The following is a 27443-nucleotide window of genomic DNA, read 5'->3' as shown; positions in this document are numbered from 1 at the left end:
AGACATGTTTCTCTGTTTGTTGTTTTATTTCTGTGGTTGGTGAGGGAATGTGTGCCATGCATTTGCACAGGCAGAGTCCCTGCTAACTCTTCAGAGGCTACAAGGAGCCTAAAGCTGGCAGGTGCTGCAGAGGCCAAAAGGTTAGCATCTCAGGGCTGAGTCCCAGAACCAGCTTCCCATTGGCCACAGGCTGGCTGATGTATCCTTGCGATAAAGATATTAAACTTGCAACAACTCCCTCAGGGAAGGGTGGTGGTCCTGCTGGTGGAATATGTGGAGGTTGTATTTATTTATTTATTTATTTATTTTTGAGATGGAATCTCGCTTTGTCACCCAGGCTGGAGTGCAGTGGTGGGATATTGGCTCACTGCAACCTCTGCCTCCTGCGTTCAAGCGATTTTCCTGTCTCAGCCTCCCAAGTAGCTGGGACTACAGGTGCGTGCCACCACACCCAGCTAATTTTTCTATTTTTTTAGTTGAGACAGGGTTTCTGTATGTTGGGCAGGCTGGTCTCGACCCCCTGACTTGAGGTGATCCACCTGACTCGGCCTCCCAAAGTACTGGGATTATAGCCATAAGCCACCGTGTCCAGCCTGGAGGCTGAATTTAGAGTGGTTCCACTTCAAGAATAGCGCTAAGCTTTATCAAAAGGTGGCATTGCAGCACAGGGGATTGAGAGTAACTGGCAGGCAGAACTGGGGGCATCCTGGGCCCTTTGGGGATGATAATTTATTCTGGGCCAAAGAAGAAAGTGGGATATGGAGGAGACACAGTCTGATGGAGTAGCCTAGCTCCATTTTCTGTGGGCTGTGGGGGTAGTGGGTGGCTGATTTAGCCACTCATTCATTCATTCCTCACCAAATATTTTGAACACCTGTCATATGCCACATGCTGTATTGAGAGTACAGTGACGAGCAAGACAATGGTTTGGCCCTTCACAGAGTTGTCACTGAGGTGAGGGAGGCGTTCTCACCAACATTCCTTCCAGAAAAATCCCTAGGGACCTGACAATAAAAGAATCACACACAAAATGGCACAGATCACCTCTTGACGTGGGGAGGTCATGCTTTAGCGATGTTTATTTAATTCTCAGTGGATTTGAAGGAACATATCAGGGAATCCAAAGCACCAGTGCAGAATCCCACAGCTCAGGGAACCTGCGCCAAGGAGGCTTTTTGATAGAGGGAAACAGTAGGAGGAGGCAGCTGGGAATGAGGATGGGGGAAGACTACAGCAGTGTGTGACTGTGGTCTACAACAGGCACGAACCTCAAAAATAGCGTTCAACGTGAAAGGAACCAGACACAAAAGATCACATATTACGCCTGTAATATCAGCACTCTGGGACACTGAGGCGTGTGGATCACCTGAGGCCAGGAGCTCACAACCAGCCTGGCCAACATGTCCCTACTAAAAATACAAGAAAATTAGCCAGGCGTGGTACCACATGCCTGTAATCCCAGCTACTTGGAAGCTGAGGCAGGAGAATCTCTTGAACTTGGAAGGCGGAGGTTGCAGTGAACCAAAATCACGCCACAGCACTCCAGCCTGGGAGACAGAGCAAGGCTTAGTTTTAAAAAAAAAATCAAATATTGTGTGATTCTGTTTATAGGAAATATTCAGAATTGGTAAGTCCATAAGGACAAAAACCAGATTGACAGGGGCTGAGATGAAAAAGAGAATGGGGTATGGGGAGTGACAGCTTGATAGGTATGGGTTTTGTTGGGGGGAGATAATGAAAACATTTGGAACTAGGAGAATCACCTGACATCAGGAGTTCAAGACCACTGAACTCGAACCTGGGTGACAGAGTGAGACTCCGTCTCAGAAAAAAAGAAAATGTTTGGAACTAGATGGTGGTGGTTGTACAGCTTTGTGAATGAACCACACACCACTAAATTGTACACTTTAAAATGGCTAATTTTATTTTATGTGAATTTCATCTTAATTTTTAAAATTATATATATACATGGCCGGGCATGGTGACTCACACCTGTAATCCCAGCACTTTGGGAGGCTAAGGTGGGTGAATCACTTGAGTTCAGGAGTTTGAGATCAGCCTGGCCAACACGGTGAAACCCCATCTCTACTAAAAATACAAAAATTAGCCAGGCATGGTAGCACACACCTGTAATCCCAGCTACTAGGGAGGCTGAGGCAGGAGAATTTCTTGAACCCCGGGGGTGGAGGTTGCAGTGAGCCGAGATCACGCCACTGCACTCCAGCCTGGGCAACTGAGTGAGACTCTGTCTCAAAATATATATATATAATTTTGTATATTATAATTTTCAATAATCTCACTCCTCCACTCATTTGCACTGCGACCTCAGACAACTGGTGCCATGGAAGGGAAGGAAGCTGGCTTGCAGCAGGTCTCTCAGAGGCAGGAAGTTGCAGGGAGTCAGAGCCATTATCTACAGAGGTGGGGACACTGAATGACCCTGGAATCCTTTGACCCCCTTCCCTCAGCCCCTTCAGCGGGGCAGGAAGCAGATCTGGTATGTTGGGGGTATTTTGCCCACACCACACTCCTGGGGTGTCAGATCGATGTCTTCAGGAGCCACGGGGCTGGCCACGGAGAAGTTCTGGAGGATGGTGGTGAAGAAGAGGAACAATTCCGCACGGGCAATGCCTTCACCAAGACAAATCCGCTTCCCTGTGGGCACAGAAGGTCACCAGCATGGGCACAGGGCAGGTGCATACACTTCGCTCTGCCATGTCCCTAAGCCCAGACATGTATGTCCACTGCAAGAGATTTGCATAAGACTGGCCTTTAACCTACAATTCAGGGTGGACTTTTAGGAAGCTGCTCTGAAACCAGGTGCAAATCTTTGAATGGATGTGCCATGTTCATTTCTCTCTCTCTCGCTCTCGCTCTCGCTCTCACTCTCTCTCTCTCAATCTCTTTATTTATTTATTTATTTATTTATGTATTTATTTATTTATTTTTGAGATGGAATCTCTCTCGGTCACCCAGGCTGGAGCACAGCGGCGACATCTCGGCTCACTGCGACCTCTGCCTCTCAGGGTGTTGAAACGATTCTCATGCCTCAGCCTCCCAAGTAGATGGGATTACAGGCACCTGCCCCCACGCCTGGCTAATTTCTTGTATTTTTAGTAGACATGGGGTTTCACTATGTTGGCCAAGCTGGTCTCGAACTCCTGACCTCAGGTAATCCACCCACCTTGGCCTCCCAAAGTGCTGGGATTACAGGCGTGGGCCACCGCGCCCGGCGCCATGTTCATTTTTCTAGTAGAGAGTTTGTAGCTTCTGTTACAGTTCCAAAGGGTTTGGTGATCCCCACAGTGTATAATGACCCACTTCTGGTTGTGTGTGTGTGTGTGTGTACCTCTACATGTGTGTGAGCACATTTATGACAACATTCTTAGTGTTCACTTCTCATACGGGGAGAATGGCACCTCTCTCAAAGGGCTCTTCTGAGGTTAAAGGAGACAATTGTAAAAATTCTTAGAACAGCACTTGGCTTCTGCTAAGGAGCCTTAAGGTTTGGTTATCGCCTTGTGTTTGTTTCTGGGGGTATCTGTGGGGTATGTGTTTCTGGCCATGTGTCTGTGTCTGTGTCTCTAGGCTGTTTTCTGGTCTCAGCCTGAGATCCACAGGCTTCAAGAGCTCAGGGGGTAAAAAACCCAAATTGTATATAAATTGTGAATGGGACTGATGCATATGAGACAGGGAGGGTCTATGGCTTCCACCGATTCTCAGAGGTGCAAGGAACCCCCAGTAGGTTCTAAACCACAGATTGGGAGAAAAATGAGAACAAAGGGAGCTGGAAAAAGCTGAGGCAGAGACAAAGGGAGCCTTTCCCTTCACTTCAGTGTTTCATAATCTGCAAACCTTGGAAAGGCCATGTCAAGTGTGAGTTTTCAGGCATTCCCTATGCCTGCCAAGTTGTTGGACAAGTGTGTCTATGTGGAGGTGTCTGGAAATGGGTCCATGTCCCTTTGGCACATCCAGAAGTTGGGCAACATGAGCTTAGAAACAGGCAGGTCTCTGGGCCTGTTCTTCTGTAGCTCTTTGTGTGACCTAACATTTTCCACAACAGCCTGATGCTTATTATCTCCCTCTCATCACGCCCTCCCCATCTCTGGGGCCATCTGTTTGGACACCTTTCGAATTTCTTTGGCTGCAGTACCCTTTTGGCTTGGGTTATACCTTTCTTTCTGCCCCTGGCAGCCCTACTCCTGTCTTTTTCTCTGTCTATACCTGTCAGACACAGTTTTTCTTCTTTTCCTCTCCTTTTTTGGCTTTCTTCCATCTTGCTTAACCTCCTATCTCCATCTATTTGAATCTGATTGCTCCCCAATCTCTCTCTCTCTCCTTCTTTCTTTTCATCTCCCTCTAAAGATACCTTATTTGTCTCCTTCATTCTTTCTTCCTCTCTTCTTGTGTCACTCTCTCTTTTTCCTATCTCTTATTCTGTTTCTCTCCTTTCCCTCCTTCCTTCTCCCCTCCGCCTTCCTTTTCCTCCTCCCTCTCCTCTTATTCCTCCTCCTCCTCTTCTCCTTATGTGGCTCTCTCTGTGTGTGTCTCTCTCTCTTCCTCTCCGTATACTGCCTGATGTTCACCTGCTGTCTGTCCTTCTGCCACTGTCTCCCCATCTCTATCTCTCAGTGTGTTCCCTCTTTGTCCCCAACTATGTTTCTCAATCTTATTATCTTTGTTACTTATCTGTCTCTGTCCTTATTTCCCTACATCTCTGCCTCTCTTAAAACAAAATAGCAGGCCTGTCACAATGGCTCACGCTTGTAATCCCAGCACTTTGAGAGACTGAGGAAGGAATATCACCAGGTCAGAAGATCAGGACCATCCTGGCTAACATGGTGAAACCCCATCTCTACTAAAAACACAAAAAATTAGCCAGGCATGGTGGTACACACCTGTAGTCCCAGGTACCTGGGAGGCTGAGGCAGGAGAATCGCTTGAACCTGGGAGGCAGAGGTTGCAGTGACCTGAGATCATGACACTGCACTCCAGCCAGGGCAACAGAGCAAGACCCTGTCTGAAGAAAAAAAAAAAAAGAAACCTTAAGATAATGTCTCAGGCATGGTGGCTCACGCCTGTAATTCCAGCACTTTGGGAGGCTGAGGCGGGTGGATCGCGAGATCAGGAGATCAAGACTATTCTGGCTAACACGGTGAAACCCTGTCTCTACTAAAAAACACAAAAAATTAGCCGGGCATGGTGGCAGGTGCCTATACTCCCAGCTACTCAGGAGGCTGAGGCAGGAGGATGGCATGAACCCAGGAAGCAGAGCTTGCAGTGAGCTGAGATTGTGCCACTGCACTCCAGCCTGGGTGATAGAACGAGACGGTGTCTCAAAAAAGGAAAAAAAAAAAAAAACAAGACAGCAAAATTGAGAGAAGACATTGACCCTCAAGCCATCACCCCATGTGTTCCTAACTGTCATTGAAGATAAAATGTGGAAGGAGGTCACTGTACTGCACAAAACCAGGGGCTGGGCCAGGACCCTGGGTTGCTGAAGTCACTGATGAAACTCAAGACTAGGGATTTGTTTCTGGGGCCTTTCATGGATGGTGCGTGTTAAATTAAATTAAATTTGGCCTAAAGCAGCCTCCCTGCATAACAAACTGTAACGTAACTCAACATGTAAACAAACTGCAATGTAACTTGAGAGTATATTCTTGTAACAAGTAACCTTGGACAATCAGGGCAGCCAAGCTTCAGCCAGTCACAGGCTACAAGCTGCCCAGACATGCTCAGATAAGGCAAACACAGAGCTGTAACCAATCAGGCTGTTTCTGTACCTCAGTTCCTTTCCCTATGGATAAATAGTGCCTGATCACATTGCTGGGTGGAGCTCTCTGAACCTTTCCTGGTTCCGTGTGCTGCCCAATTCATGAATTGTTTCTTTGCTCAAATAGACTCTGCTAAGTTTAATTTGCCTAAAGTTTTTCTCTTAACCAGCCAAAGAGTGGAGGATGAGAACTGGGACAAGTCAGAGCACGTCAAGACCTTCTCCACCTCCCCAGTGCTAGACCATAAATCCAAACTCCTTCCACAGCCTTCAAGGTCCTGCCCAGCTGAGCCCTTTGTCTTATTCCCTTCCGCAATCTACACCCAAGGCTCACTGGACTTCCTATAGATTCTCAATGGTACCATCACATTTCCACCTTTAGCCTTTGCCCTTGCTGTTTCCTTTGCCTGGAACACACTTTGCAATCATTGATTGACGCCCACCCATGAACATCTCGGCTTGGAAGCCAGTTCCTCTGGTAAGCTTTTCCTTAATGACCCACCACAAGATTAGCTACTATTTCCTATTTTGTGCTCCCAAAGCTCCCTTTAGAGCACTTATCACAATTATGTCTAATTATAATAATAATTGCCCCGTGAGCATGTCCTTTGTGCCAGGCAGTTCCAAGCATGTTGCAGGCATTCATTCATTTCATGAGATGATTATTTTATTATTATTTGATGAATGTCCATCTTCCCTGCTGGACTTTAAATTTCCTGGGGCAGGAACCCTGTCTCCGTGTGACCTGTTTGATGCATTGTCTTCAGCCCCTAGTACAGCACTGGGCTTACAGCGGTGCTCAACAGATTTTTTTCTTTTTAAGAAAATGAATTCACTGAGGTTTAGAGATGTTAAAATACTTGCCCAAGTTCCTGCTTGCCCAGATGTGCCTTTGGGAATGTCATCTTCTTTCTCAAGCCTCCTTACAGGGTTGTAGTGAAGATGGAAGGGGATAAGGCAGGTGAAGCAATTGGAATATATTAAGTGCTCAATTAATAAGGACCTGTCATTTTTTTTCTCAAGTTGAGGATAGGACCTGCCCTCTGGTGTCTGGGAAAGAAACTGTGGGTCCAGCTTACCTAAGGAGAAGGGGATAAAAGCTTCATTCTTTTTCAGTGCCCCATTGGCATCCAGAAAGTGGTCAGGATTGAAGGCGTCTGGTTTTTCAAAGTAGTGTGGGTCACGGAGAGCAGTGCTCAGGATGAGAAATACTTCCGTGTCCTGAGGAAGGATCACAAGATCAAAAGATATTGCCATTCCCTGCCCACCCTCCACACACACAGCACAAAAAAGAAAAAGAAAAAAACAAAAACAAGGGGACTCAATTGAGAAGCTAACAAAAGGTTGAGTTTGGGGATTAAGAAAATCCAGGATGCCCACACAGGAGGGATGTGGGGGTGCAGCCAGTCTTACCTTGGGGATGGTGTACCCTCAGAAGCTGGTGTGTTGGGTGACAATGTGGGGCACACCCATGGGGAGAAGGTCAGCAAATCTCTGAATCTCACGGATGACTGCCTCTGTGTATGGCATTTTGGCTCGGTCATCAAGCGCTGGAGGGCGATGTGGGCCAACCACCTGTTCAATCTCCTTGTAGACTCTCTCTGCACAGAGAAGAAGATGAATGAATCTCATTTTAAAGAGGCATTTGAGGCCAGGCATGGTGGCTCACACCTGTAATCCCAGCATTTTGGGAGACTGAGGTGGGCAGGTTGCTTGAGTTCAGGAGTTCAAGATGAGCCTGGCCAACATGGCAAAATCCCATCTCTACTAAAAATACAAAAAATTAGCTGGGTGTGGTGGTGCAAGCCTGTAGTCCTAGCTACTCAGGAGGCTGAGGCAGGAGAATCGCTTGAACCCAGGAGGTGGAGGTTGCAGTGAGCTGAGATCATGCCACTGCACTCCAGCCTGGGTGACGGAGCAAGACTCTGTCTCAAAATTAAAAAAAAGAAAAAAGAAGGAAAGAAAATTTTTTAAAAAGAGACCTTTCAGCAGGGACACTACTTTCTATTGACCAATTAAAAACCTACAGTAAAGGCTTAGATCTTTGATACTCCTCAAAGCAATCAGCGTGGGGTGAGGAGAGCAGGAAGGAAGCAACAAGAATTCTCACTGCTTGAAATCTAATGACTATTATGGATCCTCTTCCCACATGCACAGGTACACACACACATATGCACACACATAACACGATTTTGCATGGAATTTCAGATTAAGAACTCCAGGCCACAAATCAAAACACCCTCTCTAAGATGAGTAGAAAATAAACTAATATTTATTGTGTGTATATTATAGGTGAGACACTATTCTTGGTCCTCAGGTATATAACAGTGTAATAGAACAATAGATGAATCCATGAACAACTGGATAAAAACATCAATCAATCAATCAATAGATCAATTCATGGAAGGAAAGATTGATGAAGAAATGAACAAACCAATAAATGGATGTATATATTTACTTACCAATTAATAGATGGATTGATTGATTAATTAATCACTAATGAATGGTCCATAGACAAAGAAATCAATGAACCCAATTAATGAATAATCACATGAATGGCTAGATTTATGGAAGAACAAGTGAATAAGTAAATTAGTGAAGTATGAGTAAATAAAGGAATAAATGAATGGCTGGATTGAATGATAAATAGATCAGAGGTGAATAAATGAGTGAATTATTGTGATAAATGAAGGAAAGCATGGATGGATTAAGGGTGAATTGAAAGACTGACTGATGGAAGGATAAGGGTGAAACCTAGTTCATAGAAGGATGGAAGAATGCATGAATGAATGAATAAATGAACCAATGAATCAATGACAAATTGTCCATCAACATATCACTGTTTCAAAGGATCAACTTGTGGATCAAGTAATCCAAATAAATGAATGACACAGTATATGTCCTTGGATGAATCATAAATGAAAAAATCAGTGAGTACACATTCTTTAATTAATAAATTAAACAAAGAATAGATGAAAAGATAAGTGGATGAACGGATCAATTTTTAAGTCATGGCACAGAAAGTCAAATATTCCATGTTCTCACTCATAAGTGAGTGCTACAAAATGTGTACACATGGACACAGAGAGAGGAACAACAGACAGTGAAGACTAAGAAGAGCGAGGGAGCAGAAGGGGGAGGTGAATGATGAGAAATTACTTAATGGGTACAATGTACACTGTTCGGGTGATAAATACCCTAACGGCCCTAACTTGACCATTACAAAACCTACGCACATAACAAAACTGCATATGTACTCCCTAAATTTGTACATCACAAGATCAGGAGATCGAGACCATCCTGGCTAACATGGTGAAACCCCATCCCTACTAAAAATACAAAAAAATAGCCGGGTGTGGCGGCGGGCGCCTGCAGTCCCAGCTACTCAGGAAGCTGAGGCAGGAGAATGGCATGAAACCTGGAAGTGGAGCTTGCAGTGAGCCAAGATCGCGCCACTGCACTCCAGCCTGGGTGACAGAGCAAGACTCTGTCTTAAAAAAAAAAAAAAGATCCTTGAGTGATGGAAGAAAACAATGGGAGAACGCATGGACAGATTCTTCATGCGTCCATGCATCCACCAACAGAATTGGCTTGATTGGAAGCTAGTCCAGAGCCTACAGTGATCCCGGAATAGGAAGCCAGCATCCCCTCTCTCATCCAGGTGGTACCCATAGCCCCATTTCTGCAGTCCAGAAGACCCCCTTGACTGGCTGTCCCTGGCCCACCTGCGACATGAGGGTATTTGAGCATGAGCAGGAAGCCGTAGCGGAGAGTGGTGCTGGTGGTCTCAGTGCCAGCAAAGAAGAGCGAGAGCGTGTTGATGATGAGGTTCTGGTGGCTGAATTCACTGTGTGGGTTGGATTTCTCCTGCGTCCACAGTAGGGAGGGGAGGGCAGGGTCAGGAGAGGCTGTAGCCTTGCTGTGCACACGCCTGTCTCCCTGGCTGCCCTCCGTTTGCCTGAAGGTCTTTGACATTATCTGGCCCAATTTGCTTTTCTCTGTCCTCTACATGTCCAGCTGCACATCTCTAACTCATCTCTCTCAGCCTCTTTTTACTCTGCCTGGCTCTGTTTCTATCTCTCTCCACATCTTTTTGATGTGTTTCTCTCTTTTTGTCTCCCAGTCTCTTTCTACCTCCGTGAGTCTTTTCTCCTGTTGCTGTATTTTTGTCTCTTGCCCCAAATTCCTTCCTCAGCCAGTCTTCTCTCTCCCTCTCTCTCTCTCCCCCACTTCCCACCACCACTCTCTCTCCATCTCAGTTCCTCCTATTTTCTCCTTCCTTTCACCTCATCTTTCTTTCCTTCCTCATCTGCTCTCCTCCTTTTCACTATTCTCCCCTCCCTAATCTTTGTTCTTCACTCCCCATCTTCCCCTTCCCTACCCCTTTTCCCTCCCTCTTCTCACCTCTCTATCTTGCCCTCCCTCCCCTCCCTTCCCTTTTTCCTCTCCCAGACCCCACTTTTTCCATGTGGAGCAGGTAGGTGTCGATGAGGTCCCTGGGGGCGCTGGGGTCCAGGGTTTCACGGTGCTTCTCCACACTGTGGCCAATGTAAGCATTGATTTCCTGTAGGTTTTTGTAAACTTGCCTGTGTGCCCCAGGAAAGTATTTCAAGAAGCCAGAGAAGAGCTCAAACAGCTGCAAGAAAGAAGGGGTGGTGAGGTTTGCCTAGGGCTGAGCTAGCAGGTCACAGGGAGAGAGCGCCTCCTGGGCCCCAATCCCTCCATGGGAACCCCACTTCCCCACTCCCCTCTGCCTCTGAACCCCTCACTCACTGACTCTATATCTCCTTTGATCTATCTCACATTTACCTCTTTCTGCATCTTCCTCCCTCATCCTTCTGTCTTTTTCTTGGCCTCTGCCCCATCTCCCTGCCTCTCTCCTTTCTATCTCTCTTAGTCTCTGTCTCACTTCCTTTCTGTGTCACCCATTGTCTACCTCGGCCTGTTTATTTGTCTTTCTCATACTTTTCTCTCCCTCTTCCCTCCTCTCCTCATCTCCCTTGCTGTGTCAGACATTAATAAAATGATTCTTACACAAGATAAGCCTGCTGACATGTTAGGACTATGTATTTTGGAGGTTATTTCTATTACTTTGATGAAGAATGGAATGCCTAATTTATTGCAAATAATTGCAAAAATGCAAACGTATATTGCGATGTAAAATTCCTTCTTAATCTCTCCTTCTAGAGATAACCATTGTTAACTGTCTGGTGGGTCTCCTTCCAGACTTTTCTCTGTGGTTCTCGGTGGGAGGAGAACATTAGAATTATTGGTCGGGCTTGTTACAAGTACTCACCTTGGACCCCATCCCAGACTTTCCAGATCAGACCGCCTGGAAAGTAGGGTCCTGAAAATCCATAACTGTGACAACCCCACATGTGAATCCAACATACACCCCTGCTTAAGAGCTGTAGCTATGTTGACCAGCCTGGCCGACATGGTGAAACACCATCTCTACTAAAAATACAAAAAAATTAGCTGGGTGTGGTGGCGCTCGCCTATAGTCCCAGCTACTCGGGAGGCTGAGCCATGAGAATTGCTTGAACCTGGGAGGTGGAGGTGGCAGGGAGTTGAGATCACACTACTGCACTCCAGCCTGAGTAACAGAGCAAGATACTGTCTGAAAACAACAACAACAAACTACAGCTATGCATACTGTTCTGCAGCTTGATATTCTTAAATTTAATATGTAATAGGCATATTTCCAGGTTAATCAATAAGGAGACATTTTATTATTTTCTTTTAAAAGAGCAGAAGATTACCTTTATAATCTGTGGAAAGTTTTTTTTTTTAAAAAAAAAAAAACAGGGAGAAGGAGCAATGGGAGAAAATGAAGAAATGCTGTTCCTTATTGTCTTGTATCCTTGAATTTCTTCAGGTGAGGAGCTTTACCAAAGACAGAGAAGCAAGCATACAGAAGAACCAGGAGTAGGCTGGACATAGTGGCTCATGCCTGTAATTCCAGCACTTTGGGAGGCCAAGGCGGGCAGATCACTTGAGGTCAGGAGTTCAAGACCAACCTGGCCAACATGGCAAAACCCTGTCTCTACTAAAAATACAAAAAAATTAGCTAGGCGTGGTGGCAGGTGCCTGTAATCCCAGCTACTCAGGAGGCTGAGGCAGGGGAATTGCTTGAACCAGGGAGGTGGAGGTTGCAGTGAGCCGAGATTGCACCACTGCACTCCAGCCTGGGCAACAGAGCAAGATTCCATCTCAAAAAAAAAAAAAAAAAAAATCTTAGCCAGATGTGGTGGCACATGCCTGCAGTCCCAGCTACTCGGGAGGCTGAGGCAGGAGAATCACTTGAACCCAGGAGATGGAGGTTGCAGTAAGCCAAGATGGCACCACTCCACCCCAGCCTGGCTGAGAGAGCGAGACTCCGTCTCAAAAAAAAAAAAAAAAAAAAAAAGACATCCAGGAGCAGAAGAGCAGAGATCAAGCCCAAAGCCTGATTCATTCTCTCTCTCCCTCTCTTTCACATTCATTCTCATCAACTCTGTCTCTCAGGATCTCTTGATCTCTGCCCTTCTTTGTCTTGTTTTTGCTCATCTTTCTTCTCTCAGTCTCTCTCTGACTCTGTTTCTGCCTCCCCATCGTGCCCCATTCTCTCTCTCACTGTCTCTATCCCTGTCTCACCGCCTCCCCTCCCTCCAGGTCTCCATGTCCCTGACTCCACGTGGTCTCTGCATTTCTTCCAGGGATAAGCTGCATTTCTGAGCCCCCAAGTCAGGTCATCCTTTTCTCGTGTGTCCTGGATGTTCACCTCACCCCCACCCTCCCTCTCCTTCTCCCTCTCCTGGACCTGGCTGGATATAGAGCTGATGAGTAAGAAACTCTGGCAGAACAAGTTCAGCGTCTTCAGGAACTCTTGATCTTGGTAGTGGAAGCGTTTTCCAAAGATGATGGAGCAGATGATGTTGGCGGTAATGGAATGGAAGAGGAAGGTGGGGTCCACGAGGGCTCCTAGGAAGAAGCAGCAGGTCAAGGACACAGACTGAAGGGCCTGGGGAACATCAGGCTGTCACCTATCTCTGTGTGATTGTCTGCCATCACTCAGTAATGGTAAACATGAGAATAACCATAACAGCTAATTATGTACCAGCACGTCACGTGTAATTCCACTGAACTCTCACTACAACAATGTGAGGCAGATGCAATTTGATTATTAGCTCCAAATTATAGATGGGCAGACAGAGAGGTTGAGTAATTTGACCAAAGTTGCACAGCTACTCATTCCTGAGGCCAGGATTTAGACCCAGGCAACACAGCTATCGAGTCCATGCAGCCGGTTCTCACTCTGCACCTCCTCTCCGGCCCCACCTCTGACTCTGGGAGTGAATACAGCTAAATCCCAGGGGTAGGGGCTGGGCAGAGTAGGTGTTTAATCAATTGCTTGTATAAATTAAAAAGCCCTGGGTGGGCACAGTGGCTCATACCTCTAATCCCAGCACTTTGGGAGCCTGAGGCAAAAGGATCAGGAATTCAAGACCAGCCTGGGCACCATAAGGAGAACCTGTCTCTACAAAAAAGTTAAAAATGTAGCCAGACATGGTGGCACATGCCTGTAGTCCCAGTTGAAGGAGTCTAGGGGGCTGAAGTGGGAGGATCACATGGGCCCAGGAGTTTGAGGCTGCAGTGAGCTATGATCGTGCCACTGCACTCCAGCCTGGGTACAGAGTGAGACCCTGTCCCTAATTTAAAACAAATAAAAAACCATCTTTCTACCCCCACCTGTTACTCCCCCATAATCTCTTCTTTCTACATCTAGGGCTCTCCAGTCATCCGGGCATTATTCTGCACTTGTTAAGTGATACCTGTATACACCAGGCTCAGCACTGGCCCCAGCTGGAGGGAGGGTGGTCTGTGAGCACCCAAGAATGTCAGGTTAGTGCAGCCTCTCTCTGGGTCTCACTTGCCTGTCTTCTCTCATTCCTCTGCAGACCCTTTCTTGAGCCTTGTCTGTCTGTCTCTCCTCTAATTTTTTCTGCCTCAATTTCTCTTTGCCTTTGTTTCTTTCTGTCTCTCTGTGTGTATATTTCTCTCTCTCTTTTTTTTTTTTTTTTTTTTTTTGAGACACAGTCTCACTCTGTCACCCAGGCTGGAGTGCAGTGGCATGATCTCAGCTCATGGCAACCTCCATTTCCCAGGGTCAATCAATTCTCCAGTCTCAGCCTCCTGAGTAGGTGGGATTACAGGCACGTGCCACCATGCGTGGCTAGTTTTGTATGTTTAGTAGAGACAGGGTTTCACCAGGTTGGCCAGGCTGGTCTTGAACTCCTGACCTCAGGTGTTCCACCAGCCTCAACCTCCCAAAGTGCTGGGATTACAGGCATGAGCCCCATGCCCAGTCTATATATCTCTTTGTTTTGGTCCCTCCATCTGTCTCTTTCCTCCTGCCTGTGTCACTCTGTTTCTTCCTGTCCTTCTCTTCAGTCTTCTTGTCCCTGTTTGCCTATAGCTCCTGTGTTTCTACCTCCCCACGCAGCCTCTGCATTTACGTCCCAGAGTCTCTTGAGAAATTTTGATAAGAGAGATGGTAAACACCTGGCATAAATGAGATGGAGGTACTAGCCAGAGACCCGTCACCTACATGTCCCACAGACACCCAGTTATGGAGAACTCAAAAATAACCTAGTGATTCTTTGATGACCCCTCCAGCTGCACCCGGGCAGAACATCCCACCTGGCCTGCTTGCTCACTGCCAGCTCATCAGCACTTCACCCAGGGCAAGGAAAACACAGGTCATTATTTGTTAAATGTCTGTAGTTTTTTCCTTTATCTCTTTGCTTTCTTTTACATAACTTCTGATTTTGCCTTCGATAGACACAATTGATCCATGAAAATATATGTCTTTCAGGGTTTGTTTGTTTCTTTGTTTGTTTGTCTGAGACAGGATCTTGCTCTGTTGTCCAGGCTGGAGTGCAGTGGCACAATCACAGCTCACTGCAGCCTCAACCTCCTGGGCTCAAGTGATCCTGTAGTCCCACCATAGCAAGTAGCTGGGACTACGGGCACACACCACCATGCCTGGCTCATTTCTTTTTTATATTGTGTAGAGACAGGATCTCATTATGTTGCCCAGGCTGTTTGCTTCCCAAAGTACTGGGATTACAGGTGAGAGTCATCGCATCCAGCCTCTTTGAGTAACTTTTGGACATTATACACCTGGCATCTCTCTCTTTCCCTGGCTCTGTTTCTCTCCTGCCAATCCCCGTCCCTCTCTATTCCCCTGTCTCTCTCACTCTCTGTCCCTATACCTCTGTCAGATCATGTCTCTGGTTTCGTCTGTCTCTGTCTCTGCCCATGTATACCTCTCTGCCTTTCTATTCCCGTGCCTGCATCTCTCAGTGTTTCATTGCCTTTCTTTCCTATTCGTCTCCCAGGACTCACCCTTGGATTTCCGAAGTTCCTCTATCAGACACTGAGCCTCGTCCTGAATCCGCTCCTCCACACTCCGCTTTCCCATCCCGAAGTCCCTCATGGTGGTCACAGAGAATCGCCGAAGCACCTTCCAGCGGTTTCCATTGGCAAAGAGCATGCCTGCAGTGCAGGGGAGGTGTGAGTTGGTTGCAGAAGAAGTTGGAAGAAGGCTCTGAGTCCTTCTTCCCCCCATATACTCCCTTCCCTGATGCACCCCCACCTGCCCCCTCCCAGTGCCTCTGAAGCCCTCACCATATCCCTGGTAGACTGGGTCCATGATGACGATTTTTCCCCGGCCAGAGAAGGCCTCAGCGTTGTCCACCAGGGCCTCCCGTATGGCCTCTACTCCACACAGCATGACCACGGGCCTCGGTCCCAGGTGTACCGTGAAGACGTCCCCATATTTCTCTCGGAACTGCCAATCACATCCACACCAGGGGTGGCTGTTAGTCAGCATACACCTCATTTGTAAAACTATCAAAATACTTACATACCAGATTGGTAATTAGCCCCTCCTCAACATCCGCCTCCCCAGGCTGCCCTTTCCCCTGCCAGGATCCAGCAAGTAAGGGTTAACAGTTAACGGTGTCCAAGGGAGAGAATACAGTCATAGGTTCTTAGTTTCTGTTTCTGATTGGGCCAGTAAAACCCCTTCCTCATCCTTCTTTTCTGTATATTACTAGAGACAAAATCTGAAAACCATGGCTTCAGGCTGCTGAAAGACTGAAACAAAACAAAACAGAACAACAACAACAAAATAAGGTGGGTTGGACAAGCTTAGGTTAATTGGTGGCCCAGCCAGGGTCTGCTCTAATTGGCTGCTGCCCTAAACAGTAGAGATGGTTGATAAAATACTACGAATATCACCCTCACCCCATACTTCTTATGATCTGTGGTTTTGCTTTTGCTTTTTTTTTTTTTTTTTTTTTTTTTTTTTGAGACGGAGTCTCGGTCTGTCGCCCAGGCTGGAGTGCAGTGGTGCAGTCTCGGCTCACTGCAAGCTCCGCCTCCCGGGTTCACACCATTCTCCTGCCTCAGCCTTCCGAGTAGCTGGGACTACAGGCACCTGCCACTATGCCTGACTGATTTTTTGTATTTTCAGTAGAGACAGGGTTTCACCACGTTAGCCAGGATGGTCTCGATCTCCTGACCTCGTGATCCACCCACCGCAGCCTCCCAAAGTGTTGGGATTACAGGCGTGAGCCACCGCGCCTGGCCTGGTTTTGCTTTTTGCAGTTTCAGTTACCTGCAGCTAACCACAGTCTGAAAATATTAAATAGAAAATTCCAGAAATAAGCAATTTGTAAGTTTTAAGTTGTGCACCATTCTAAGTAGGATGATGATGTCTCTCATCATCCACTCTGTCCCACCCAGGACATGAATCATCCCTTTGTCCACCCCGTCTGCACTGTGTATACCACCCTCCCTGTATAATGTGATTGTATAGGAAAAAAAGAGTATATATAGGGCTCAGCATTATTTGGGGTTTCAGGCATCCACTGGGGGTCTCAGAACATATCTCCGGTGGATAAGGTGGGATTACTGTGCAGCCACTTGGGGAACCGCTGGGCAGTATTTCCTGAAGCTGAACAAATGGATAACTGGGAAACCATCCACTTCACTCTCAGGTACATGCCCAGCACAAATGTGTATGTGTGTTCACCAAAAAATGAACAAATATTCACAGAAGCTTTCTTTATAAAATACTCATCAACACAGATATAGAGAAACAGTGAGAGTTCACACAATAGAATAGTATACAGCAACGAAAAAGAACAAACTACAGCTACATGCAATAACGTGGCTGAAACTCACAGGCATAATGTTGAGTGGAAGCAACTAGACACAAGAGAGTCCATGCATCATAATTTTATGTGTATGAAGTTCAAACACAGGGCCGGGCATGGTGACTCACACCTGTAATCCCAGCACTTTGGGAGGCTGAGACGGGCTGATCACGAGGTCAGGAGTTTGAGTCCAGCCTGACCAACATGGTGAAACCCCGTCTCTACTAAAAATACAAAAATTAGTCTGGCGTGGTGGCCCTCACCTGTAGTCCCAGCTACTCGGGAGGCTGAGACAAGAGAATTCCTTGAGCGTGGGGAAGTGGAGGTTGCAGTGAGCCGAGATCACGCTGCTGCACTCCAGCCTGGGTGACAGAGCAAGACTCCATCTCACAAAAAAGAAAAAAAAGTTCAAACACAGACAAAATCAACCCATGATCAAGATGGTAGGTGGATAGTGACTAGAAAAGGACGGGGTGTGGTGTTTTGGGGGACTCTTGCTACTTGGCCTGCATGTCAATTACATGAGTATGTTCAGTTTGTGAAAATTCATTGAGCTGTGCACTTTTTATAGTGATGTTCAATTTCAATAAAAACTTGACATAAAAATTAGAAAAATGTTTAAGTTTACTTACAAATGCCCTGCATTGATCTCTGCAAAGCCCCTTCACTGGTCTCCTGCCTTACATTCTTAGACCCCTTAACAACTGTTTCACTGCCCCACAAGCCAGGGTAACCCCACTAAAATGTAAAATAATTAATATCCCTGTGCTCACCAAGGCCTCCAATACTCCAACTTTGCTGAGAATAAGATCTGAAGTCTCCACCTGTGGTTGACATGGTCCTACATGATGTGGCCCCATCACCTCTCTGACTTCTCCTCCCACTGATTCCTCCATGTTGTTCCCTGAGATTTTTCCTGCTTCAGGATTCTTGCAACCACCCTGCCTCCTTCTGGCACCTTCCACCTGAATCTTTCCTGGTCCCTGCTAAGAAACAAAGCAAGGCGGAGTCTTTCCCTAACCACTCAATCTAATGTAGTTCTCCATCACTTTCTGAAATATCCTCCTGCTTTAGTTTAATCGTAGCTCTTGTCCACCTAACATTTCCTTATCTGTTTATTTTTTGCTTATCTGTCTCCACCAATGGAATGTCCATAAGCACAGTGTTACCTCGTATGTCTTGTCCAAGATGCCACATCATCAATTCATAGAATATTTCCTGGTACATAGAAAGTGCCCAGTGAATTGTTATTGGATTCATGAATAAATGAATGAGTGGATCAAGGTAGTTGCCATTTAATGAGCACTTATTATATACTAGCTGCATGCAATATCCCATTTAATTCTCACAACCACCTTAGGGGCACACATTCTCATTGTCATGGTCTTAATTGACAGAAGAGAAAACTGTGACTCAACGCATAAGAATTGAATCTGAGACACGAGCCCGCATCCCTCTGGCTCCAAAAGGAATCTGGAAGCTTATTGGGAAATGGAGAAGCAACAGCGCCACCTTCCTCAGCCTTGACACACACTTGCTCATGCCCTCCCTCTTTCCCCTACCCCCAAGAGATGCAATCATAATAGACGGTCATGAATACCTAGAGGACCCTTGGAAGGTTTATGAAAGAGTTTTAGGGAGTCTGTGAAGCCTCACAACTTTATGCAAACATGTATGTGCCTATTTGGAAAAGAGGGGGCCACAGCTTTAATCAAACTCTCAGAGGATTTCATAATCCACAAAATGTTAAGCAGCTTTAGTCTAGGAGGGCTTTGGAGACAGACCTCCTGCTGGAGCTCAGCTTCTCCTTTTCCTAGTTGTGTGCCACTGGACAAGTGCTTTCCCCAGGCTGAGCATCTCCATCCCTACTGTTTTTTTGTTATTGCTGTTGTTGTGTTGTTGTTGTTTTTTGAGACAGAATTTCACTCTTGTTGACCAGGATGGAGTGCAATGGTGCAATCTCGGCTCAGGGCAACTTCCGCTTCCTGTGTTCAAGCAATTCTCCTGCCTCAGCCTCCTGAGTGGCTGGGATTACAGACATGTGCCACCACACCAGCTAGTTTTGTGTTTTTTTAGTACAGATAGGGTTTCTCCATGTTAGTTAGGCTGGTCTCGAACTCCTGACCTCAGTTGATCTGCCTGCCTCAGCCTCCTAAAGTGCTGAGATTACAGGCATGAGTCACCATGCCCGGCCACCATCCCTACTTCTAAGATGAGGGTAGCACCTCACCTTGTCCACAGGTAGTTGTAAATGACACCTAGAAAATCCCCATGACAACACAGGTAATTCCCAGACACATTACTCTAGTGGGAAAACTAAGTCCATTGATTCACATGATAGCATGATATTCTCGTGACACATGGAAAATGATGAAAAGAAAACAATAGGCACTTGAGACCTTCACCTATGTGATGGGACTCTATTTGGTGGGGAGGGATCCTTAGATCTGCGACCCCCTACTGGGGGCCTGGTAGCACTTTGCAGGCCCCGGCCGACTGTCAGTTCTGCTGAGTCAGGCTTGGAGCTTTCACTCACTGACTCCTTCATTTGTTTCTATACACATATTTGCTAAACGCCTATTGTGTACCAGGCACTATGTTCAGCTCTGTGGTGAGTCCTCGCAGGCCTTCCTTGTCTGGAAGTGTGAGGGAGAGATCAGCCACAGGATCACAAGTAAATGCAGCATTGTCAAGGACATAGGCTCAGTAAGGAGGGGCAGCTGGTGTATGAGAGCCTATGGTGGGGACCTGGGGGTCAGGAAGTCTTCTCAAGGGAGCTACTGCTTGCCTGGATGGCTAAGGAACCCCAATAATGAGGAACGGACACTGTTCTTGCACTGACATTAACCAAGATGACCCACCCACATCCTCAAACAACAACAACAACAACAAAACAAACTATTTACCCCAAGCCCTCCCTGTGAGAAAATGGAAATCTTTGCTGCAACGAAGAAGGGGAGAGGGTCAAACATGTCTATTCAAAACTTATCCCAATGCTTTGGGATGTTGAAGCAGGAGGATTGCTTGAGGCCAGGAGTTCAAGACCAGCCAAGGCAATATAGTGAGACCCTCCCCCAACACGTCTCTACAAAAATAAAAAAAAATAGTGGGGCATGGTCGTTCACACCTGTAGTCCCAGCTACTCTGGAGGCTAAGGCGGGAGAATCTCCTGAGCCCAGGAGTTCAAGGTTGCAGTGAGCTATCACTGTGCCATTGCACTCCAGCCTGGGTAACAGACTGAGACCCTGTCTCTAAAACAATTTAAATGAAAAATTCAATATCGTTCCTGACAAGCCTCCACTTTCTATGAACTAACAAGATAGCCACAAAGATCCTTTTGAAAACTCATTTTAGGCAAATATGAATTTCATTGACAGTTTTGCTTGTTTCAGAATTTGTAAAGGATTGGGATATTCAATGACCATGCCAGCTCTCATAAAGAAAGGGGGCAGTGAGATACCAAGAGCTAGAAGGAGCAGCAAATTCTGTTAATAGAGGCATGATTGGTCTCCAGATAGTGTCTGCAGAGTTTAGAAAAAACCCTTAAAGAGAAGGTTCAGTGAATTGTGTAGGATGTCTTTGACCAGAATTTAAACCTATGCACACTTTCCTAAATGTTGTCACTCCTCACACTGCAGATGATTTTTTTTTTAAGAGACAGGGTCTTGCTCTGTTGCCCAGGCTGGAGTGCAGTGACGTGATCATAGCTCACTGCAACCTCAAACTGCGGGGCTCATGTGATCCTCCTGCTTCAGTCTCCCAAGTAGCTGGGACTACAGGCACAGGCCACCATGCCTGGCTAAATTTTTAAAAAATTTTTGTGGAGACAGGGTCTTGTTCAGTTGCCCAGGCTGGTTTTGAACTCCTGGCTTCAAGCAATCCTCCCACCTCAGCCTCCCAAAGTGTTGGGATTACAGGCATAAGCCACCACATCTTTGAGTGTTGCCCAGTGGGGTCGTGAGCCACCCAAACAATATTTTACCTAATCATAAGACTCCTTGGCTCCCTCCATGTCATTCCCCTGAAAAATCTAAGTGTTCCATAATTTGAGAGTCTATGACCCAATTACTTTGTATCTTCCAGCTAAAGTGACAGTGTCTAACTCATAACCAAAAACCACATGTTTTGACTAAGTGTCTAAGATAAATATATATGTATGACAATTATCACATTCATCATTTGTATGTCCACATATTCTGTCTAAGCAAATAATTTTAAAATTCATAGTACCATTGGCATATATACTCTGTATATATGCATATTTACTCTATCAGTAAAAAGACCATTGATCAGAAATAAAAAAACTCTATTAATAGCAAAAGGATAACAAGCCTAAGATTCAGGAGTATGGTCAACATGAGAGGGGGAAGGGGAAGGTATTGTCAGTATTCTAATTCTCCCATTGGAAAGTGGGTTGATTGATTAGTAATGATAAGTAGATAATTAATCATAAAATCAGGCATGGTAAGCAGTGATAACCCAGGTAAATACTGAGCCAGTGGCAGTTACCGGTATAGGGCACTATGTGTACTGTTGATGAGCACTCCCTACCCACACTCCTTTGCTGCTCTCCCTCTCTCCTCCACTCTCCTGGCACTGACATGGGCTAGTCTGCTCTCTCTCATTGGCACAGCAAAATCTATTTGATTCGTGCCACCACCTCTTTTACCTCATTCTTTCAGTGGCAGGCAGGTACCCAGGATGTAACAGAGGATGGCAGAGAAGAGTGAAATTCTACACCTGTGGCTCATACCCAGACACCTCGTCATGCCCACTCACCCCTCCAAGGACAGTGCCCCCGTGCAGTTCCAATTCAGAGACAGGGTCTCAATCTGTTACCCAGGCTGGAGTGCAATGGCACCATCAAATTACCTATGATAACCTATTTAATAAACCAGTGTTATGTACCTGAATTGGAGAAGCATAAATTGGTACTTATGGTATTAAAATTTGTATTTAAGAGGCTGTAATTCCAGTGTGAAGCATGCACTCATGGAGACACTGGATGGCCGCCTGATCCTTCCTGAGTTCTTAAAATTTCCATTACTAAAAGCTCTGCATTCCACGACTCATCATAGAAGAGATAAAATGATCCAAATTATGAAAAAATATTGATGAGGTGACTGTTCTAATGGTTTATAACTAATATTTGATTTATCAAATCCATAATTCTAGTAAGACAACAAAAACCAAAAACCACAGGTGATATATTTCTGGGACTTGGTAGATCATTTGAACACTTGAAGATGGAGTTAATTCAACTGCCACCTTCATTGCATGTTTTCTGGTTGTATTAAAGCTTTTTTATGCACAAAGATCAATGCCATAACAGTAGCTAAAATGTTATTAGAAAATGTATTTCCTTACTTGGCATTCCTGGAGAACTCTCCAGTGGTAGAGGTACTTGCTTCACTAGAGAAGTGGTAAAATACTTAAATAAGGTATTGAAGAAGGAATTAATGAAATCAACTATAACCTAATAGTAGTAGTAATAGAAATTTTAAAATCCTTTTAAAGTTGCTGCAAAGTGTGACCCCCACCTTACATTCAAGTTAAAAGAGAATATTAACAACCTTTCTTCTCTCTGTGGACAATGGACCTTATCTCTTCTTCCCAACTCCACATTCCTTAAAGTTTATTACAGGCCCAGTGAGTTCCTGCATGGCTGCAGGGTCATAAGACTGATAAGTTTAGGTTGCAACACATGTCTTTCTTAAGATGTAAGAAATGTTAATTAACTGCTTTGTTTCTCCCTTCTGTAACTTGCTTCCCACCTCATGTAGTTCCCACCTTAAGATGTTTAAAAGCAGGCAAAGCCCTTTGTTCGGGGCTCAGACTCTCTGGACATATTTCTGGCTGAGCCAGTGGTCACCTTAATTTAATAAACTCTCCTGAACCTTTTTTGGTCTCTCCAGTCTTTGATTGTCCCGCAACAGTATTACAAACAAAAGGCATTAGGCAAAGCATGCTGAATTGATTGGAGTCCCTTGGTCAAAGGTATTATTGATTGACGGCAATCAGATCCACTCCTATTGGAAAGACATAGATAGATCACTTGTAAAATAGTAATAGGAAGTCCTATGCCCCAATAATAGAATCTCATGTATCTCCCACTCTTATAAACTCTGATATGATTCAATAATGCAAGGCTTTAATACATTATGCCAAGGCATGTTTTCACCAGGTAAAAGGAGTCATTGATGACCCATCAGTTGATGACAACCAGACCTTTCACTATCTATAATTTAGAGGTTGGGCTCTTTGGAAATGACACCAGAGAAACTGTCCTTGAACTCCATTGGAAGTAACCATACCAGGTTCTTCTAAGACTGTCCTTGTACTCCATTGCAAAGGACAATGCCAAGTTCTTCTCTGTAGCAAAACTTCAGGGTCTGGGATCTTGGATCCACATCTCTCAATTGAAAAGGGTCCTTCTAGACTCCTAGAACTTTATGTCTGTTGAGACCTTAAGGCAAAGCTGACCAGGAAAGTTTTTCCCAAGAAGCAGTTGGCATCTTATATGTGGACAGCTTTTCCAAGACTGTGGATCAAGATTTCTCTTCCATCATGAAAGCATTATCTTTTATCCTTTCTTCCCTGTTTCTTGCTGTCCTAACCCTTTCCCTTTCCTTACAAGAAAATCCATAGTACAATAATCTGTGAATGGCTTTAGCAAAGGCTTATACCCTAGGAAAAAAGACAAGCAATTGTTGAGTTTGTGAGCCAGTTCCCCAAAATCAGGAAATAATTTCACTGGCGCCAATGCCTCTTTGTGTTCCCAATGGGAATCACCCGGAAACCCCAAAGGAGGAGTGGAAAGCTATATCTTGATATTCTAGACATCAATTGCCACTTGCTTTTTTGCACTCACTGGAAATATTTGATAGTGGTTATGTTATTAGTTATTTAATATAATAACAGTATGTAATAACATACTATTAACTAATAACTAGTTATTAGTTAATATAATACAATAACAGTATGTAATAACATTCTATTAACTAACTAATAATATAATCACTACCAAATATAGAAAATGTATCTGAATGATGGCTGCAAAAAGCATATTGTGCTTCCAGGCATCCCGCATAGGACCTGGGGACTACCTATGTGGGTACGGTTAATTGCATGTGTAATGTTACTGAATTAAATATGGTAAAGTGGCCAGGCATGATGGCTCGTGCTTGTAATCCCAGCACTTTGGGAGATTTAGATGGGAGGATCACTTGAGGCCAGGAGTTCGAGACCAGCCTGGTCAACATAGCAAGACCCCAACGCTATAAAAAATAATTAAATAAATAAATAAGTAAATACAGTAAAGTCTCTTTCCAACTAAATGTGGCTATGCACCCTTGCAGCATGATAGAAAGAGACCACAAAAAAAGTGAGCTTCCCACCTTGTTCAAGAGCTGTGCAGACTTATGTGTAAACAAATTTAACTGATATCTGCTCTAATGCCAGTAGGTGACCCTCTTTTCCAACCCCACAAGTGCCTACCTTGGGTCTGCTGAGGTTCGCTTACTCTGTTCTTTCTCCTCACTGGCCCGTAACTTGCTATTTGGCCTAGCTCACTGCTGCTTTCCAAATTTTTTCCTTGAGAGTTCCCTAATACCTCCCACAGTTAAAAGCCAAAACAGTCAATAACTGAAATTACTATCAACCTCAAAGTCGATGAAGATAAGTTGGTTTCTGCAGAGAAAAGGTTCCAATGGAGTCCCTGGGTGCTCACTTTTGGTGATATTGGGGTGACAGTTGTATGGAATCTGAGGCTAATTTATACATTAAGGGACATCTTGGATTATGTAGCCAATTGAACCTCCAAGGAGTTCAGATGGGTAGAAGCCACTCTCCAAAAGGAGGATGAGAACATTGTATTAAACAAAAACGCTTAATGGAACATCATGCAGTTTTAGATCTCCTCTTTGCCCATCTTGGAGGCTTGTGTATGGTGCTGAACAAAACCAAATATTGTTCTTATCTTTCCCGTGAATTTACTAGTACATATAACTTAATTTAAAATGTGGCTGACAATGCTGTTTCTCTAGACACTGCCACCAAATACACTAAGGAAAATTCTCAGGGGAAAAAGAAGATATGTATTTACGGGTGCAGGTAACAGTTGATTTGCAAGCATCCTGAATGGTGATGGCAAGTGATATGGTTTGGTTCTGTGTCCTCACCCAAATCTCATCTTGAATTGTAATCCTCAGATGTGGAGGGAAGAACCTGCTAGGAGGTAATTGGATCCTGGGGGCAGTTTCCCCCATGCTGTTCTTGTGATAGTGAGTGAGTTCTCACAAGATCTGATGGTTTTATAAGAGGCTCTTCCCCCTTGGCTCTCTCTCTCTCTCTCTCTCCTGCCACCTTGTGAAGAAGGTACTTGCTTCTCCTTCACCTTCCACCATGAATGTAAGTTTCCTCCTTCTCCCTCAACTTCTACCATGATTGTAAGTTTCCTGGGGCCTCCCCAGCCATGTGGAACTGTGAGTCAGTTACATCCCTTTTCCTTATAAATTACCCAGTGTCAAGTATTTCTTTATAACTGTGAGAATGGACTAATACAGCAAGCCTATCACAAGGTTTTCTACTCTTAATGTTTCTTCTAGTGGGTCTCCAAGGTACTATGACATGTGTTACCAGGTGAACTACAAAAACAAATGCCTCTGTAAATCAAGTTATTTTATAGCAAGCTCTAGTCCTTAATCACCATTGTGCTCTGAACAAAGTATATGACCAATTGGACTCTAATACTATTGAACTATCTTTATTGCCTGAGCTTTGAATTATTCGATTTTGATCAGTTTGGTTCATGGAGACTCCCGGTAAGGTACAGACTTCATTTTCTTTGTATTACCCTCCTGAGAGCCATCATAACAGTCTCCCTGATGTGTTGTATTTTCTTGAGAGTCTTGGCCGGGTGCAATGGCTCACACCTGTGCAATGGCTAGCACTTTGGGAGGCCGAGGCAGGTGGATTGCTTGAGCCCAGGAGTTTGAGACCAGTCTGGGCAACATGGTAAAACCCTGTCTCTACAAAAAATACAAAAAGTAGCTGGGCGTGGTGGCATGCACCTATAGTTCCAGCTACTCGGGGGGCTGAGGCGGAGGATCACCTGAGCCTTGGGAGGTAAAGGCTGCAGTGAGACATGATCATGCCACAGCACTCCAGCCTGGGTGACAGAGTGAGACCCTGTCTCAAAAAAAAAAAAAAAAGAGAGAGAGTCTTAAATGCTCATATGCAGCCATTCTTTGTACATCCAATGGCTTCATTACAGTATGAATAACAAAAACATGAAGAAAACAAAGAATCACTCAACTACTTTGACATTGTCCATTGTGAATTCCATACTGAGAGCAAACAAGTCCATTATGATGGTGACAGAAGTAATGTTGATGCCCAAGGTTTTGGTCAATCTCAAAATTTTGAGGCTCATCAAAAGGGGAGAATTGTTTAATTAAATTAAATTTGACATAAAGTTCTCTCTGCATAGAGTGAACTGCAACCTAACTTGGGAGGGAGTATATTCTTCTTTTTTTTATTTTTATTTTTTTGAGATGGACTCTTGCTCTGTCGCCCAGGCTGGAGTGCAGTGGCACCATCTCTGCTCACTGCAACCTTCGCCTCCTGGATTCAAGTGATTCTCCTGCCTCAGCCTCCTGGGTAGCTGGGATTACAGGCACACACCACCATGCCCAGCTAATTTTTGTATTTTTAATAGAGACACAGTTTCCCCATGATGGCGAGGCTGGTCTCAAACTCCCGACCTCAGGTGATCCACCGCCTTGGCCTCCCAAAGTGCTGGGATTACAGGCGTGAGCCACTGCACCCGGCCCAGATGAATAGATTCTTGCGACAAGTAGCCAAATGTTGGCTAATCAGAGCAGCTGGGCTTTCAGTCCACCACAGGCTGCTAGCTCCTCAGACTGTGACCAAGTAAGGCAAGCTGTGATCTGTGGCCAGCCAGGCTGTTTCTGTATGTCACCTCCTTTTTCTGCCTGTGAATACTGCTTGCCCATACTGCCGTGTGGTGTCTCTCCTGGTTTAGGGAGTTGTCCGATTCATGAGTCACTTCTTTGCTCAAATAAACTCTGCTAAATTTAATTTGACTGATGTTTTTCTCCTAATACTACCACCCATCATGCTTCACTATGCTCTGTACTCACCAACCATCCCCGTGCCACCCCTGACTCTGGAAGTCTGCCTCATTCTGTTTGGTGAAGGATCCCCAAGTACAGAGACAAGAAGCAGCCCACCCTCAGACCCCATTCGTCTGTGTCTTACCCTCAGAAAGGATTTGAGTAGGCCTCTTCTGTCCATCTGCAGAAGGTTCCCCAAAAGGGGCAGAGGGCGGGGCCCTGGTGGGAGGGTGCCATGGGAGTTAGGGTGACGCTGAACCAGGAGTAGCAAGAGGCCTGTGAGGAGTGCAAGGAAGAGGAGGACGCTGAGCTCCATGGTTCCAG

At 45.3% G+C, this 27443-nt stretch overlaps 1 pseudogene across 1 annotated transcript; it reads right to left on the bottom strand.

Annotated features, from left to right (window-relative positions):
• Positions 1 to 1047: 1047 nt before the first annotated feature.
• CYP2B7P (cytochrome P450 family 2 subfamily B member 7, pseudogene) lies at positions 1048 to 27443 on the bottom strand (annotated as a pseudogene). Its single transcript, NR_001278.1, has 9 exons — positions 27265 to 27443; positions 15449 to 15611; positions 15167 to 15316; positions 12579 to 12739; positions 10236 to 10412; positions 9502 to 9643; positions 7190 to 7377; positions 6856 to 6997; positions 1048 to 2655 (listed from the first exon to the last, which is right to left on the bottom strand). The product of NR_001278.1 is annotated as a cytochrome P450 family 2 subfamily B member 7, pseudogene (transcript).

This window comes from Homo sapiens, chromosome 19 (assembly GCF_000001405.40).
Source record: "Homo sapiens chromosome 19, GRCh38.p14 Primary Assembly".
Taxonomy (NCBI): domain Eukaryota; kingdom Metazoa; phylum Chordata; class Mammalia; order Primates; family Hominidae; genus Homo; species Homo sapiens.
This window is presented reverse-complemented; position numbering and strand designations above follow the sequence as displayed.